Raw genomic sequence first — 18,412 nt, forward strand, 5'->3', positions numbered from 1 at the left:
GTCTCAGAGTTGCTCTGTGAAGGTATTCTGTAGATGTGGTTAGCATCAACAATCAGTTTGCTTTGAGTAAAGAAGATTATCCTTTTTAGCCTGGGTGGGTGGGCCATGTTGAAAGACATTAAGAGCCACACTGAGAAAGAAGAAATGCTGCTTGTAGATGACAATGTCAGCTCCCACCACAGTTTCCAGCCTGCTAGCCTAAGGATTTCAGGCTTTCCCAGCCAGACCCCCAATTCCTTGAAATAAATAAATATATATCTTACTGGTTCTGTTTTTCTGGTAGAACTCTGATACCTAGTGCAAGTCCAACTTGGACTTGCTTTTCCATGAATATGTTGGAATTAGAGCATCTATGTTTGACCAGCATAACTATGCACAGGGGAGCAACAAGATAACAAAGATCCTGGATCTTCTTACCCTGCGGATCCACAATAGCCCTTGGCCATACACCTCTGGATTTTTACACAGAAAAGATGCAAACTTCTACCTCAATGAAGCCATTGTTTTTCTTCTCTCATAGCAAACTTAATCCTAAGTAATGTATATTTATTGGGTGACTATTATTTGCTCAACAGATAAGGAAAGAGAACTTCTGAGGAACTAAATGACATACCCAAGATCACGCAACCAGCAAGTGGTAGGAATAAATGCACGCCTGTGGGGTTTGAAAGCCCACACTATTTGAACTACAAAATCCAGAATTTCAGGGTCCCACTTATGCTTCTACAACAGCCCTTTTACATCTAGGCGTGGGGGGAATATTTCCTTAAGCAATAGTCTTTGGCTTCAGAAAATCTGAGCGTCGTCATATACTTTCACAATGGAATGAGAGAAGAGCCAGCCAAAGGTATTTCAGAAGCAGAGAGAGCACTTTGCAGATCTAAGGTCTACCAAGGCTATCTCAGCTTAGCCATTCTTCAGGTCTAACGCGATGTACTAGGTTAGACAGAAGTCACAGGCCGAAGTCCAGAGAAAACAAGATGCATCAGTCACTGTGTAACTATTTATTGCTGTGTAACAAATTTCTCCATAAACATTTATTATCTCACAGTTTTGGTGGATCAGGCATTCAGAAGCAGCTCACGTGGGTGGCTGGTGGCTCAGGGTCTCTCATGAGGTTTCAGTTAAGATGTTGACCAAGACTGAGGTTACACGAAGGCTTGACTGGGGCTGGAGAATTGGCTTTTGACAGGAGGCTTCATTTCCTCATCCCATACACTTCTCTGTAGGGCTGCAAGTCTTCATGACATGGCAGTCTCTTCCCCCAGAATAAGTGATGCAAAGAGAAGGCCACGCTGCCTTCTATGACCCAGTCCCAGAAGTCACACACTGTCACATCTGCTATATTCTATTCATTAAAAGCAGATCATTGGGTCCAACCTATACAAAAAGGGTGGGGAAATTAAGCTCCACTCTTGAAAAGAGGAAAATCATAGGCGACCCATATTAGAACAAGACAGAATTCTGCACAGACTTTCATCAACAATAACTAACCAACAGAGGGCATTTGGCAGAGGAAGCAAACCTTCTGTGGAATAACGAAACCTACGGTACAGAGAGTGAACTCTCAGCCACCTCCCAGGAGGACATGAAACATCCTCTGCAGAGAACAATTAGAGTGCAGCACATTTCACAACATTGCTGAACACTGCTCCAACAGGGGCATGCTCCTGGTGGAAGCAAAACTGGGGCTCAGCTTCCATCCTAGGCCTCTGGACCCGTGATGGGAAGGGTTCTTTTTCCATATTATTTAAAAAATAACTAAAGTCAAAGGGACATTGTATATACAGAACAGTGTTTGAAATGAACATGTATAACCAATAAAGAAAACACTACCACAAAGAGAATTAGAACATTGCCAGGCTCTTAAAAGATCTGATTCTCCCTTCTTAACCCCATCCCTCTTCTTCCCGTTGAGAGGTAATCACTATCTTGGCTTTGGAATAATCATTCCCTTGCTTTTCCTCGTTTTTTTGTTTGTTTGTTTTGCTTTTTTCACTACCATTGCATGACCCCTAAATAATATATTATCTTTCTCTGCTTTCAAAATGTAAATAAATGGAACCATATCATATATGTTGTCCTGCTACATGCCCCTTTGGTGCGACAGTGAGTTTGTTAGTTTCATTAATTGCTGTATAAACTCCATTATGTGGATATACCTGCATTGGCTAATCCAATCTAATGTTGATGGATTCTTGGTTGATGAATGCTCATGAAAAAATTTCTTTTTTCTATATGCATGACCCAATCACCTCCCACCAGGCCCCAACTCCAACACTGGGGATTACAACTGAACATGAGATTTGAGCAGGGACATAGATCCAAACTGTATCAGACTTTTTTTTATTAACTTTAATTTTGAGTTCAGGGGTACAAGTGCAGGTTTATTACATAGATAAACTTGTGTCATGGGTGTTTGTTGTCCAGACTATTTCATCACTCAGGTATTAAGCCTAGTACCCATAAGTTATTTTTCCAGATCTTCTCCCTCCTCCCACCCTCCCCGCTCTGAAAGGCCCCAGTGTGTGTTGTTCCCCTCTATGCGTCCATGTATTCTCATCATTTAGCTCCCACTTATAAGTGAGAACATACGGTATTTGGTTTTCTGTTCCTGTGTGAGTCTGTGAAGGATAATGACCTCCAGCTCCATCCATGTCCCTGCAAAGGACATGATCTCATTCTTTTTATGGTTACATAGAATTTCTTGGTGTACATGTACCATATTTTCTTTATCCAGTCTATCATTGATGGGCATTTAGGCTGATTTCATGCCTTTGCTATTGTGAATAGTGCTGCAGAGAACACTGAGGTGAACATGTCTTTATAATAGAATGTTTTATACTCCTTTGTGTATATACCCAGTAATGGGATTGCTAAATCGAATGGTATTTCTGTCTTTAGGTCTTTGAGGAATCACCACCCTGTCTTCCACAATGGCTGAACTAATTCACACTCCCACCAACAGTGTATAAGCATTCCTTTTTATTCACAACCTTGCCAGCATCTGTTATTTTTTGACTTTTTAATAATAGCCATTCTGACTGGTGTTAGATGGTATCTTATTGTGGTTTTGATTTGCATTTCTCTAATGATCAGTCATGTTGAGCTGTTTTTTCAAATAATTGTTGGCCACATGTATGTTTTCTTCTGAAAAGTGTCTGTTCATGACCTTTGCTCACTTTTTACAAGGGTTGTTTCTTTTCTTTGTAAAGAAATTAATAAATTTAAGTTCCTTATAGATGCTGGATATTAGACCTTTGTTAGATGTATAGTTTGCAAAATTTTTCTCCCATTCTGTAGATTGTCTGTTTACTCTGTTGATAGTTTATTTTGCTGTGCAGAAGCTTGTTAATTAGATCCTATTTGTCAATTTTTGCTTTTGTTCAGTTGCTTTTGGCATCTTCATCATGAAACCTTTGCCTGTGCCTATGTCCTGAATGATATTGCCTAGGTTGTCTTCCATGATTTTTATAGTTTTGGGTTTTACATTTAAGTCTTTAATCCATCTTGCTTTAATTTTTGTATATGGTGTAAAGAGGGGGTCTAGTTTCAATATTCTGCATATGACTTACCACTTATCCTAGCACCATTTATTGAACAGGGAATCCTTTCCCCATTGCTTGTTTTTGTCACTTTTGTCCAAGATCAGATGGTTGTAAGTGTGCAGTCTTATTTCTGGGTTCTCTATTCTGTTCCATTGGTCTATGTGTCTGTTTTTTGTACCAGTACCATGCTGTTTTGGTTACTGTAGCCCTGTATTATAGTTTAAAGTTGGGTAGTGTGATGCCTTCAGCTTTGTTCTTTTTGCTTAGGACTGTCTTGGCTATTCGGGCTTTTTCATATCAGACTTTTTAATGTTTGACAATATGGTGGGTGCAAAATAGATATTATTTTGATTTTAATTTATATACCCTTAGTTACCATGAGCTTGAGCATTGTTTATAATTAATTGTTCATCATGTTTCCACTCTTGAAAAGTGATCTATTCAATTCTTTTGCATATTTCCCACCGTTTTTACTTGTTGATTTACAATAGTTAAACATTTTGGTTACTAGTGTTTTGCAGGTGATATGAGTTACAAAACTTTCTCCCAGCAGGTAGTTTATCTTTTCACTCTCTTTAATGATATATTTTAATTTAAACACCCTTAATGTTAATATAGTAATATCTATCAATATTTCTTTTACAGGTTGTAGTTTTTATGTCTTGTTTTATAAAACCGTTTTGCACCTCAAGGTCATATTCTCCTGTAATACCTTCTAAAATGCTTTATAAGTTTAAATTTTACATTTAAATCCTTAATCATATATGTGTGACTGATTTTTACATGTGGTATTATGTAGGGGTCCAATTAATTTTCCCCATTATAAAGATTTCTAGTTGTTTGGCCTCATTTATTGAAAAATCCACTCTTTCTGAGTTGATGTTTAGTACTATTTCTGATTATATCAAGTATGCATATCTGTTAGATTAGTTTATGGACTTTCCTATTCCATTGTTGTGTCTCTTTTGAGCCATCCATACTGTTATTCTTAATTACAATAACTTTATAATAAGATTTAGTTCCTAGGGGAACAAAAAACACAACACATGTGCTGTGCTTTCAAGCATAGCTGGGCCTGTGCAATCTGGCCCTCTGTGTAATTTTAAAAACAGCTTGTAAAAAAAAAAATGTACTGCCGGATTTTTTTTTTCAGAGGAATTGCAGTGGGTTTCTAGATTATCTTGCAAACAATAGACATCTTTATAATATGGAATTATTAAATCCATGTACATGATCCATCACTTCATTTGCTTACGTTGTCTTTAATGTTTTTAAATGAAGGTTTATTGTTTTCCCATAAAGCTCTTGCATATCTTTATAGAATTATTCTTAGGTATTACATTTTTATGCTATTGAAAATGATATATTTTTAAATTTAACCTTCTCAATGTATATGTTAGTATGTAAAAATGCAATTGAATTTTGATTCCAACAATTTTGCTAAAACTCTTAAATAAAATTCAAAAATTAACCTAATGATTAATTAGAATTTTATACATGCACAGCCATATTTTCTATGAATAATAATAGATTTGTTTCATTCCAATACTTACCATTTTTATTTCTTTTTTCCTTACCATAGTATTCTGGTGAGCCTCCAAACCTATGTTGAATAGTAAGCATCTTTTTCTTGTTCTTGACAGCAAAGAAAATGCTTTTAATTATATAGCTTTATGTGAAATATTTGCTATACATTTTCTATAGACACTATTATCAAGTTAAAGAAGTCATATTCTTTTCTTAGTTTGCTAGTAGTTAATAAGATATAGATGCTTAATTTTACTTTCTATATGTATTCAGATAATCATACTTTTTTCCTATAATGTTTTCATGTGGGGGATACATTAATTGATTTCCCGATATTAACCCAACTTTGCACTATTTTGATCAACCCACCTTGATCATGATATAATTTCTTTTTTATACATGGCTGAATTCTCCTTATGAATATTTGGTTAAAATTTTTGCATCTTGCATTCATAAGAATAATTGGCCTTTTTTTGTACTGTTATTGTTTTTGGCATCAAAGTTATGTTAGCCTACAAATTTTAAAAATTTTATTGGGGAGTATTATTCTTTTTTATATTCTCCACCATATTTTGGGAAATTTTGGACCTTAAATATTTGATTGACCTAACTGATGAAGCCATCTGACTTTAGCTTTCTTTGTGGGAAAAGCTATGACTATGAATTCAGTTTCTTTAATGGCTGTAAGATCATTCAGGTTTTCTGTTTCTTCTTGTGTCAGTTTTGCTAGGTTTGTTTTCTACACAAATTTATTCATTTAATATACTTTTCAAACAAATAGGCATAAAGTAGTTCACAACATCTTCTAATCATTTGAAAGTCTTTAGCAACCATAGACTTATCCCCATTTTTATTCTTAATATTATCTGTCTTTTCTTTTTTAAAGTACTCTCACTAAAGACAAGATTTGTCCATTTTATTAATCTTTTAAAAAACTCCAATTTTTATCTTTGTTGATTCTCTGTATTTTCAGTTGTTCAATTTGTTAATTTCTGTTATCTTTATAATATCCCACTTCCTAATTGTTTTTATTTGTTTTTTGTTTGTTTTGCTGCCTTTTTGCCAACTTTTTAAAATGGATGCTTAGTTTACTAATTATCATCCTTTTTTTTCTATTTCAATATAAATATTTAGGACTATAAATTTCTATTTGCTGTTTTAGCTGTATACCACAAATTTTATATGTATTTTATTATATTAAATCATATTGTCTAAATTACATTGTAATTTCTTTTTTGAAACGTTAGTATATTTCCTAAGTAAATTTTTCTACTTAACTTTTAATTGACATCTAGCATAATTACTTTAGGTCTGAGTAGGTATTATATTATTTTAGTCATTTAAATGTGTTGTGATTTTCTTTATAAACCTATTCATGGTAAATTTGTAAAAATGATTCATGTGTAAGAATTTGTATTTTTTAGTTGTTGGGAGCAGTACTCTAACCCCATTAAGTCAAGTTTGTTAATCTTCCATTTCTTGTTTTTTTTTTCACCTGTTTTATCAATAGCTCACACAACTATATTAAAAAGTAGGTATGAATGTAGTGCAAGAAATTATTTTCTTCTTGTTATAAAATCAAAATGAAATTGACTCCACCAAGAATTGGTGAGAATTTTGAATATTTTAATGTCATCATCATTGTGAGTTCTGCTCTATCCATAGATCCTGGAAGCAAAAGTCTTCTGGTCCTCAGTGCACACTCTTTGCTCCAAACCCTATAGGTTGTGGTTTCAGTGTCAAGTAAAGGTACAGGGATCCCTGATGGGGCTAGAATCTGCATAACCAAGGCTTCAGCTCCCTGGCAGAGCCACACTCTGAATTCCTGTAAGTATCCAGGACTTAAACATTCATAATGGTCTAGGTCCCCATTGCTTGTGAATCCTATAGACTCTAATCTTTTCCCATTAATGGGATAACTTCTCCCAACATCTCTCTCGTTTTGCTACTCTTCTTATTGTTTCCTTTTACATTTTGTTTTCAAAAATTTCCCCAAGAACTTTGAGAAGTTCAATTTAAACTACTCTACCTTGGGCTTGAGGGTGGAGGAATGAGATGCTGAGACGTAAGATCTGGTAATAATGCCTACAATAGGCATATTTCCCTCCACAGAAAGGTCAGTACCTCTGTAAATATACAAACCAACTGCCTGGCTTCCTGTTTTTTTCTGTATCACGTTCTTGTAGTACCATTGAGAAAGTAGCACTGGGAGGTTGAAAATGTACCTGGCTAGCATCCAAGTCCTGGGTCTGAGTTCAAGCTCTGCTTTTCACTAGCTACATGTTTTAAGATGTATATTACCATCTTGGAGTCTCTACTTCTCATCTTCAAATGGGGACAGGAATTCTGCAAGACTCTGAGGTCTACAAAGTCAGGGCCTGTGTTCTATTTCTTTTTGTATTCCTTGGGCCTAATTCCACATCTACTATTGTAGATCAAATCTTTGTTGTGAATGAAAGAATAAATAAATTTCTGTCTTCAAGATTTTTTGCTATGATGAACTGAGACAGCACATGAGTAAGCTCTTTGTAAACTATTTTTTTTTAAGCACATGAAAAATGTATATTGTTATTGTCACCTTTCTATTATATTTCACAGCAATGTGAGATATCCTCAAATATGCTTTTACATCCCTCATCCTCAAATGTTTAGATCATCCCCCAATATTTACATATTTTTCAGCAATTGTTTAATATAATCTCTACCCAAGGAAGAGATAGAAGCCACTTGAAAAAAAGTCTTAGGGACATCTCCCAAAACTGCTTATTATTTGAATGGCTTATATTTTAAAATGTGTGCAGCCAATTTTTCGCTCTCTTGTGCTCCAACCCTTCTTCATACCACAGGCTGTGGGCGTCTGCCCCACAGACCCTGACCCAATGACAGATGAATAATGTACACTGACACACAGATATTCTGCTTTGCCAGTCCAGCTAAGTGTCTCAGCTGCTTACAGACTCCCTGGAGAGTACTGTAAACAGTTGTCGACCAGCTAGTGAGACTTACATTTATTTGGTAAAGATTAATTGACAAAGGCTCGAGTCAACACCACTACAGGGTAATTGACAATGTGGACTTCCCGAGTAGAAAGCAATTAAGCACCTGTGGTAAATCAAAGGTTAGTCTTAAGACCACATGAGTAAACAAGCTAGCTAGAAAAACTCTCCACATTCCTTTGTTACTACTTTAATATATTTAACTAAAGGTAAAGGGACCAGGCCACCTTCAGCCAGATCTATTACCGAAGTTATGCAAACTCTCAGGCCTTCCAAGAGAGTCTGTGGCTGTTACTATAACCATCTTTAATATTTTTCCCACCAGCCTGATTGAACCCCTACAACAGACTATGGTAGGTCAGACCCAGAAGTGCCAAGACTTTTCAGACATGGTCCACAGGTGTAGCAAGATGCCCCAAGCCCCACTCCTCAGTATTTTTTGGTTCATTAAATACAAAAAATGAACGTTGTACTTGGCCTTATATTGTTTTTTAAACCACAGACTGCTTGGGTTTTGTTTTGTTTTGTTTCCATCACTAGTATGTTTTGCTCCTGAAGATTGTTTTCTGACCCCATGCCTTTGCTCAAGAAAAGAAAAAATTCCCTGCCTGGAATGCATTCTATTCATCAAAACCCTTCCCTTTCTGAAATATCACCTCCTTCAATAAGCCTTTCCTGCTCAGCCCACTATATGAGTATGAGTATCCTCATACTCAGAAGCAGCTCACACATGCTAAGCTGCCCTACTCCAATTAAGAAGAAAATACTAACACAGCATCTATAGCTTTCATTCAAGGAAGGCTGAGTACTTGTTAAGATCATTTTTTCTAAGTTCACTTAGCTGTTAAAGCAGCAAGGGCAGGATTTGGATCAGGTTCTGTTTGGTTCCAAACCCACCATGAGGAGCCACTGTGCTGTTTTACCTCTGAGAAAGACCTGACTTAAAACCCGACCTCTATGTTATGAGAGTCAGGCTCCTAGGATGGGGAACCACGATAGGTGCATGCATGTCTTGTCTTGCATTAGAGATTTTTATGTACATTTTCCCTTTCTAGATTATAATCTCTCCAAGGGCAAGAACTCCCTAACACCTTTCTGTACCTCTTACATCATTGTGACATCAAAGATTCTTAGCAAATGCTTGTTAAGTAAATGAGAGCAGACATTCTTGCTCCCCACTGATTTTATCTTGGATGCTAATAATACAGTAACCTTATTTCCAAAAACCATTCCCACAGAGCCCGACACACCGTGGAACAAAAACTGAGAATTGGATTGAAGAACTGGATTGAGAAAAGGAAACACTTTGGTGAAATCACAACCTGTAAACAGACCTCAAAACATAGTGTTCACTCAACTGAAGCTGAACGTTCTATAGCCTGGGTTCATTTGGCTTGATTGCGCATCACTTGTTTACTTGGTGTGTATAACACTCCACAGGAGTCACAGGGTCCTTTTATAGGCATCTCTGGTCTGTTGTGGGCCCCGGGTAGTCATAGTCCCACTGTCTTGCTCATTATCCTCCTGCACCCCCAACACAACTGGACATCACACACTAACTTAACAATTCAGCCTCCTTCCAACTGTCTTACCCCTTCTATCTAGTTTCTTCCTGCCTTAATTAACTTCCTAGCATCATATGAATAATCATTTGTTTGTTTGCTCATCCTATTGTGGTTGCCCATCCTATGATCTTAACAAGTACTCAGCCTTCCTTGAATGAAAGCTATAGACCCTCTGTTAGTATTTTCTTTTTAATTGGGGTAGGGTGGCTTAGTGAACATGGACCTGACAGTGTTGGTTTAAAATCCAGTGACCATTGCATAGTTCCACTTTAAAATGCCCTATGTCACATTAGTGTGAATGCACAGAGGCACAGACAGGCCCAGGGTCTCAGGTTAGAAAATATGATGAGGGGAGGGGTTTCTTCTAAAGAGAACTGTGGAATTGTCGGATGTGAATCTGGGCCTGTTGTTCGTTTCTCGCTATGCATGTTTCCATGGGACGGACACTCAGTTGTTACTCTCGCTCTCTCCCACCACTTCCGCTCTCTTTCACAGGAAGAGGCGGGTCCTACCCTGATGGAAACCGGTTCTGGTCTCTGTCCAATGGGAGTCGCTTCCTGTCCTGCACCTTCCCAACCACATCAGTGAAAGGGTGGAAGTGCTGGTCTGCCCACTGCAGGCTTAACCCATGTTCTTCCTACTAGGAAAGGGACGTTTCCATTTTCATCCACCTGACTCCCGAGTTGGTTGCAAAGATGGAAGAAAGGAACAGCCATTTATTCTCCTGGAGGCAGGCCCTGCCGGACTTGAGAGGGCCTTTCCTCTGACCCTAAGCATCAGAGCGGATGGAGACAGAAAATCCTGAGGCCGCTGTATGGTGGGTCTCTTCACAGCCATGGGGCCCAGCCCCACTCGCCTCCACCAGGTTATGGCCCAGCAGCTGGGACTCCGTCCAGAAGAGCACCTGCAGCACGTATCCTGTGTTCTCCATCAAAGCGGCCTGGAGTCCGCCTGCGTCCCCAGCAAGCAGCACTCCCGCCCTAAAACCAAAGGGCGCAGCAAGGAAATGGGAGGGCTGCGCTTTGCTTCCTGTCTGATAACTACCAACAACCGGGCTTCTGCCCAGCATAGCTAGATAAGGGGAGGGCACTCCATTTGACATGCCCTGAAGACTGTCCAAGCGATGGCTTAGGAAGGCCATTCCAATTTCAAGTCCTGAAAGCTGTAAGATTTTTCTGTGACTTAGAGTGATTTATAACATAGTTTAACCTCTCAAAGCTTCACATCTGTAAAATATGGATAAAACTATCTCAAAGCGGTATTGTGCAAGTTAAATGAAAAAGATAGTGTATGCACATTGTTTGGCACTAAGCTATTATTATTATCAAAAGTAGTAGCAATTAGTATTATTGTTTAAAGGAGAAAATGATATCCATTGGGAGGCTCCTCTTTGGACCTGAAAGCTTAATATCTGGAATTACTTAGAACTGGAATGCCAGCCTCCGCCTCCTGCCAGCAGCCTGCTGCCAATTCTGATGAGACAGCTTAGAAACCATTGCCCTGATGCCATAGAAAAGAAGAGGACAGCTAGCCTTTTCCTTTCTCTTCACCCTTAATTTAAAAAGGTTGGGCAAGTTACACATCCACCCACCTCCAAACCTTTCAAACAAGTTTCAGTTATATTCTTGCCGAGTAGAAAAACCAAAAATTAATAAGAGAACTTACTTAAAATAAAAAGTTGTTAACATCTTGATACATCCTGGCTTTCCAGTTAAGAGACTTTACAGAATGGTTCGTGACTTCTACACCAAATTCTTTCTTGTATATTTTGTCTACACCCCACCCCTTCCTTAGCCTCAACCTCATGAGTGCAAATGGAGATCAGCCCTGGCTCCTGGCATCCCACGACGACTTGGAGGTGGAAATTGTTAGTCTGGAGTGGGATTGAGGGCCCCTGAGGCAGACTGACACTCTTTCAGCTGATGCATGTCTAATGCTGAGCAGGCTGTGACCAACCACCCTCAGGACATGTTTTTATGCAAGTGTGCTGTAGGGGGTGGTCTTCCTCATAAGTGAGAAAACATGAAAGCAAAGTTCATTTATCCCATCAGTTGGCTGCTTCTCACCATTCACCTGGGCCCTGCAGTGCTGAGAAAATAGGATGTATTTTAATCTCCAAGCAGACTGGACTCCAATCAATTTAGAGACACAGAGCCACAACATAATTCAATTTGGGGTGATTCCACTGTCTCTGTAATGTCTAAAGCCCTAATGTACTGCTGACTCTTAGGACAAACTGGCACTGATCAAGAGTGAGGCCACTAAGCCATCACTGATTTCAGACTCTCACCCCTGACTTTCTATGTATGGACAACACTTAATATTTCACAGAACCCAAGTTGCACTGGACCGAAGAAGACCTAAATAGCCATGTAGTCCATGTGCTGCCAAACACCTGGCAAATAGTTGCATGGTTGTTAAATAAGCACACCTCATATCCAGGAACTCCTGGACAAAGGCTGACCATTCCATCTGGACCTCCTCCAACTTCTAAAAAGCTTTCTCTTGAATTTGGCCAATGGGCATCCCTGCTGAGCCCACCTTTAGTCCAGATGTTACCTTTCTGGATGTTCATTCATGCATATAGCTGCAAACGTTTTCCAACAGCTTGATATTGCTAGGCACTGTGCTGGGTCCTGAATCAATGGGTGATAAGGGTAATCCCACTTTCAGCAGAGACACTGACAGCCCCTACTTGACATGGTCCTGGGTTCTCTCATTCCCCTTGTCTCTCCCCACTGAACCTGCACTAACTGTCCTATGTCCCTCTTTAAGTGTAGGCCCAGAATTGATGTTGCAGTCTAATGTATAACAAATAAGTCCTCGTTTGTGACCTGTTTCAGAAAATGCAACCTAAGATTGGGCAGTCATGTCACCTTCCCGTTTAATTTTCTGTCCATATGAGGCAAAATAGCTTAAGATTAAGAAAAAGCTTTTGGAATTAACTAGCCCTGGAACAAGCATTTGTTGCACCTCTTACGCTGCAGAGCTGGGCAAATTGTTCAATCTGTCAAGACATTTTTTTAAGTGTACCGTAGGGGCAGTTGGAAGGAGTAATGAGGCAGTGTGTATACAGCACCTGACCTAGTCATGGCTCATTAAAAGCTGCTATTCTACATCTCATTGCTGTCATCTCCAAAACGCTGAAGTCTTTTCACATGTGCTGCTGCTCCATCAAACTCCCAGATGTTTTGGGGAGGACTGGATGGAGGTCCTAACACCTTCAAGATCTAACCCGTCACCTCAGCCTGTTCTTTGGCATCCTGGATGTGTCACATAACCTATTGTCATCTCAGCCCCATGGCATTTGGAGCTGAGATCAGGATAGCTTCTGTATCCTCATCTGAGTAAAGTATGACCAAGTAAGTTCAAGGGCCGCAGCCTGGGGTTTAATCCTGCGACCTCCCTTCTAGACGAGCATCCATTTTTTAATTAGTACTGTTTGGCTGTGCTTATTCAATGAGTCATGAGTCATAAACTTGTAACATCTCCAGATTGTTTTATGAAGTCATATCAGGATGAAATTCTGCCTACCTACTATTTCTGTATTATCTTCTTTAGGAAACATGCCATGTGGCTACAGAACATGAAAAAACCATTTTTTTTTTCCATAAAGTTTCTACATATAACATGCTTCCTGCAGAAGTTTGTAATTCACATATTCTAGCACTAATTATAATCAGGTAATATTATGACTTTCTCCAACAGAATAATAGTTTAACATTTTTTTGTGAGAAGATAATGATGTTTTACTCAGTAAAATGAGTTTAAAATTACAAGTTAGAAAAGTTTATCTAGTTGTTTCTATATAGCATTAATCTGGGCTGCTTTGTCAAAAATTTATTTTATTTTTGAATCAGGGTGTCACTCTGTCACCCAGGCTAGTGGCGTGATCACAGCTCACTGCAGCCTTGAACTCCTGGGACTGCAGTTGTGCACCACCATGCCCGGCTTTTTGTATTTATTTATTTTTTTGTAGAGACTGGGTACTCTCATGTTGCCCAGGCTGGTCCCGGGCTCAAGCGATCCACCCGCCTCTGTCCTTCAAAGTGTTGGGATTACAGGTGTGAGTCAACAAGATTTCTTTAAACCAAGGTTAAAAGATAAAAAGAAGGCACAGAATTTGGTGTATTTTTGAGTAGTCCAAAGTAATTTTTATTCTCTAATTAGTCACCTCACGACTTTATTTGAATGAATTAATGAGAAGCTAAATAAACTAGCTTTTTAAAAAATATTTTCTTCTCTTTCTCCAGGCAATGGGTCACTTTGGGGCGCTGCAGAACATCTGTGCTTTCCCTGTGCCCCATCACCTTCCCAGCTCCTGAGCTGTAGCCATCTCTGCTGCACCTGCTGTCAGAGGGCAGCTCCTCCGGCTCCTGCTCCTGGGTTGCAGGTGCCACATCTGTGCAGAAGGCTTAGGAGAAGCAGTGAGCCTTCTAACTGCAGCAGTCCTGACAAAGCACTTTGTGAACCCCTCCGGGACATAAGGGCATCAAACTAGGAACAAAAACACAGTCTTGACTGTGATTTGGTGATTTTACCACATACAAGGCCCGAAAGCCAATTGAAGACAAGAAAAGAAGACAAATCTCTTGCCAGCAGGAGTAAGATTGTACAGGAGTCTGAGTATACATCAGGGCAAGCCAAGAGACAGGGACAAACAGAGAGAAAAGGTTCATGCAATTATGAATATGACCTGGAGGGGGCTTTGGAATTAGATTACAACAGTAACAGAGAGTTAATGCCATTTTGAAACAATTTAAGAATTATGTATTTGAAGGAACTCAGTATTATCATGTTATCCAAAATTATCCCAGTTGCTCATAAGACTTGCTAATAACCTGGACTGGGGGTGGAGGGTTGAGGGATCTAATGGAAAACATCTGTTAAAATTGAATATGATAATCATGTCTTGTTTTTATGATCTTGCTCATGAGACAGTCTTGAAGAGAGAACTGAGTGATTATCCAAGTAAATGTGTATTTCTATGAAGAATGTAGGTGTGTCTTGACTTTGCATTCCAAAATAAAAATGACTGATCTTTTCCATTAGCACAGTTTGGGTCAGCCTAACTGCCAGCTTTCATGATTGTATTTATTTATTTTCCCTAAGGAGATACGGGCACTTTGTGGGCCTTCCCAGGCTGCTGCAAAATGATGGATGGTTGGGCTCCGTCTAATCCAAATGACACGGGGTGTCAGGAGCATTGGTAATCGTGTCCTGCCGACTTCAAAGCCCACTGCCAAAACATCCACAGCACAGAGGTTTGGCAACTTCACATAATCATAGCAAAAGGACTGCAACGTGAAAAAAACAGGCCCTGAAACAGCTATGAAAAGGGCCAGTTCAGAAACCTATTCAGCTAAGATGTTTCGGCTAGCGCCTTCGCACGGTCACCTTGTATTTTCACCTTTTGAGTTGCCTTCACCTGGACCAAGGTTGGCAGCATTTGTGATTCAAAGAAAAGATGCCCAGGGAAACTGACTCTAGATTATGGAAATAAACATTGTCTTCAAGGGATAGCCAGCAACATCAGGCTCAGGGCTAGTGAATCCCAAGCCACAGTGCCCAGGTAACTCTGATGTAGCAGGACTAAAGCTGTCTACCTAGTGAGAGCTCCTGAAAGAGAAACCCCGCAGCAAATCTAGACGTTATCCCTTGTTTCTGTAAAGTGAGAAATTGCAGCTATCCATGACGCTTTATTTGCCAGTAATAATACAGTTTGCCTTACGAGTGGTAGCTTGTTCACTGTTCAACAAATGTATTTTAATCATAGCAGGAATTAAGGGTGATTTGTGACCAGGTGCTGAACTAGAATTTCTCAATGACAACCCCAGCTTCATAGGCCTCTTTCCATTCCAGGCATAAATATGGAGGCTCCAATGTGAAACCCGGGGTCCTTCTGTTCCAAAAGGGGCTAGAAATAAAAGACAGGAGGGGAGGCAAGAAGGACCTGGAGAGGCTGACGCCATTTGGGTGCCAAACATCCTATTTCCTTGGCTCTCCCTTGCACAAGTTCCTGGACAAAGTAAATTATAACACAAAATCCACAACATTCAGCACATGTTTTCATTAAGCAACTTTAGTCACTAAAAAAAGTGCAAATGCAGACTCCTGTATAAATCTGATTTGCCATGCTAGGCCAAGCTTATTTTATTACATACATTCTGCATTCTAAGAACTAATAACTTCATATTGTAAACATTAAGCATACAGAGTTAAAATTCAAGGCCACATTATATCGATTGTCTCTTTTGTCGTGTGTCTTTGGCTGGCCGAGATCAACTCGTAGTGTATAAATGCATAAGTTATATAATTATTATATAAAAAGGGGGAAAAACATTGACTTGTATACTTCATTCTGACAAACGCACAGCGTTCGCGACTCAAAGGAAAACTGGAGGCCGCCTACCCAAAATGCCTGCGTGATTTCTGATTGTGGCAGCCAAGAAGGCCATCTCTTACCTGACCCTGTGGAGAACAAAGCCCCCACATAATGATGAGGTCCTGAATGTTTCTCTTAAATATCAGACAATTCCAGTTAAAATTTTCATTTGACAAACAAAGAAAGAGATGCGCATTTTTGTTTCTGAATTCTACTACTTCCCCTTTCTCCATTACGCTGTGTCCTTTCTCCTAACACTGGGTTTGGTATAACACTGACTGCATGAACCCTCGAGTCTCCATAACTCATTGTACACAGTCCCCAAATGTCCTGAGTCCAGTCTTCATTGCTTGAGAAGTTTCTTTCCCAGCCCTGGTCTCCTCCTTCTCTGCCTCTTCCTCCTCCTTCTTCACCCCTCTGTCTACAATCACACGCTCACTCTATACACATCCTCAGTCCCACCTTTTAGTTCATAGTCCCGGTAATACTGTAAAGGAGTTGGAAACTTTGGGTCATCTTCACAGTTTGAGAAAGCTGACAGCTGTCCATCAAACGGAATGTATTTGATTTCAACCAAAACAGCACATGCCATGCAGTTGCATATCAACGTCTGTTGATGGGCCACAGTCTCTCTCGTGTCTTTTCTCTTGTTTTTGATATGTTTCTATTTTTAAATACAGGTAGTTTTCCTTAAAATGGCATTATAAACGGTATGTTAGGTCAAAACTGTGTTGTTTCTATTGCTTTAGTTTCATCCCAGTTTGCATTAGTGGGATTCCAAACTCTACTCTAAAGTTTATACATTTCTTAAGACCACTTTCTTTGGCACTTTGTCCTTAAGACTTCATGCTTCTACATACACTGTCTTTTACAAGGTCAGTCCACAGATGATATGTCCATATTCGTGACATTTTTAGCATCCTCCTCATTTCTGTAGTAAGACTTCAGTAACTCCCTCCCAAGAGTCTTTGGATCTCTTCCCCGGCTTCCTTCCCCAGCCCCAGTAAAGCTTTTTTCATTCCTCTTGAGGCACTTTTGATTCATGTTCTCCGATAGAGTTTGTGGCGATGGGCTGGTGAATGCACGCTGATGGGAAAAGCCTCCGCCAGGTCTTTAGTAGTAAGTGCCCAGATGAGAAGGCATATGGCTGGTGGGGAGCCTAGTGTTGGGGTATATACCCCCAGTTGGTGAATTCCAGTATGGGTTTGGGGCAGCAAAAAAACTGGAAGATGTCACGGGGAGGGCTGGAGGGTGGGGCGCCACAAAGTTCATCTTCTGTGGGTGGGCGTGATAGGAGCCCATGTACGGGAGGTCTGAGGGGTACTTGTACAGAGATGACTCCGGGGGGTGGGGCTGGAGGGCCTGGGCGATCCCGTGGAAGTCGAACTTGTAGGCGTAGCGCTTCCCATGGACCTTGGTCATGATGTTCTTGTCATAGTAGTAACGGAGGGCGCGGCTGAGCTTATCGTAGTTCATGTTGGGTTTGCTCTTCCGCTCTCCCCAGCGCCGGGCCACCTCGTCGGGATCCGTCATCTTGAACTCCCCGTTGGTGCCTTCCCAGGTGATGCAGCTGGAGTTGGAGCTGTCCGACAGGAGCTCCAGGAGGAACTGCCAAAGCTGGATCTGGCCACTGCCTAATGAGGTCAGGAGAGGAAGGAAAACTCCAGTGAGCACAGGTTCCAGGGGAAAGAGGCTCTCTGTGATGACGGAAGGAGGTGCTATTGGTGTGCCGCCCACATTCCCTTCACCAGGCCTGTCCGTCCATCCCTCAGCTGCAGGGGTGCGGACTGCTCTCGTTCCATGGCCACCCACTTCTCCAGAGAACTGCCCTTGCCTGAACAGAGCCGCCGCCTCGCCCACCCCCAGGTATCCCACAGCTGGGTGGACTGAACGGGGTACCACGGGCCGGCCCCCTTGCCTCAAGGAAAGACCAACTCCATGACGCTATTCAGGCTTCAGGGCTCCCGTGGGATTGGGCTGAAACAGCGTCCAGCTGCAAGGAGGCTTGGAGGAGGCCAGAAACTTCCTTAGCGCTGCCCCTGCAGCACTTCCCATTCTCTCTCTCCTGAGAACATGCCGTTAATCAGTCACCTGCACAAGCAGGCTTACCCCAAGCTCTGCATCAAGGGAACCCGACCTAGGACGATGATCTAACAGATTCAAGACCTAGATGGAATGCAGCGAATTCATATGGGGCAAAGTTCAGGCTGCTTCCATCCATTTCTGACGTCCTTAAAAGAACAGCCAGATCAACCTGGTGTTTAGGGGATGAAAGAGCTATATATTTTTTTTTCCTATTTTGTGAAGCACAAAGTACTGTTATGTGGATGGCAATAATGACTTAATGCCATTTATATTGGCTAGGTCAAGTAAGATAATAAAAGTTAGATT

At 40.5% G+C, this 18,412-nt stretch overlaps 1 protein-coding gene across 8 annotated transcripts in view; it reads right to left on the bottom strand.

The window, feature by feature from the left end:
- ERG (ETS transcription factor ERG) overlaps nt 993-18,412 on the bottom strand; it is a 294,523-nt gene continuing 277,103 nt past the window's right edge. For 5 of the 8 annotated variants that reach the window (NM_004449.4, NM_001136154.1, NM_001243428.1 and 2 more), the window contains one exon: nt 13,759-17,655. In NM_004449.4, the coding sequence (NP_004440.1) occupies nt 17,135-17,655 (521 nt within the window). In that variant the 3' untranslated portion in view covers nt 13,759-17,134. Of the gene's footprint in view, nt 1,381-13,758; nt 17,656-18,412 lie in introns of those variants that run through there. The other 3 variants (NM_001331025.2, NM_182918.4, NM_001243432.2) reach the window with 2 other exon arrangements.

The sequence above is a fragment of the Homo sapiens genome, chromosome 21, assembly GCF_000001405.40.
Source record: "Homo sapiens chromosome 21, GRCh38.p14 Primary Assembly".
Lineage (NCBI taxonomy): Eukaryota > Metazoa > Chordata > Mammalia > Primates > Hominidae > Homo > Homo sapiens.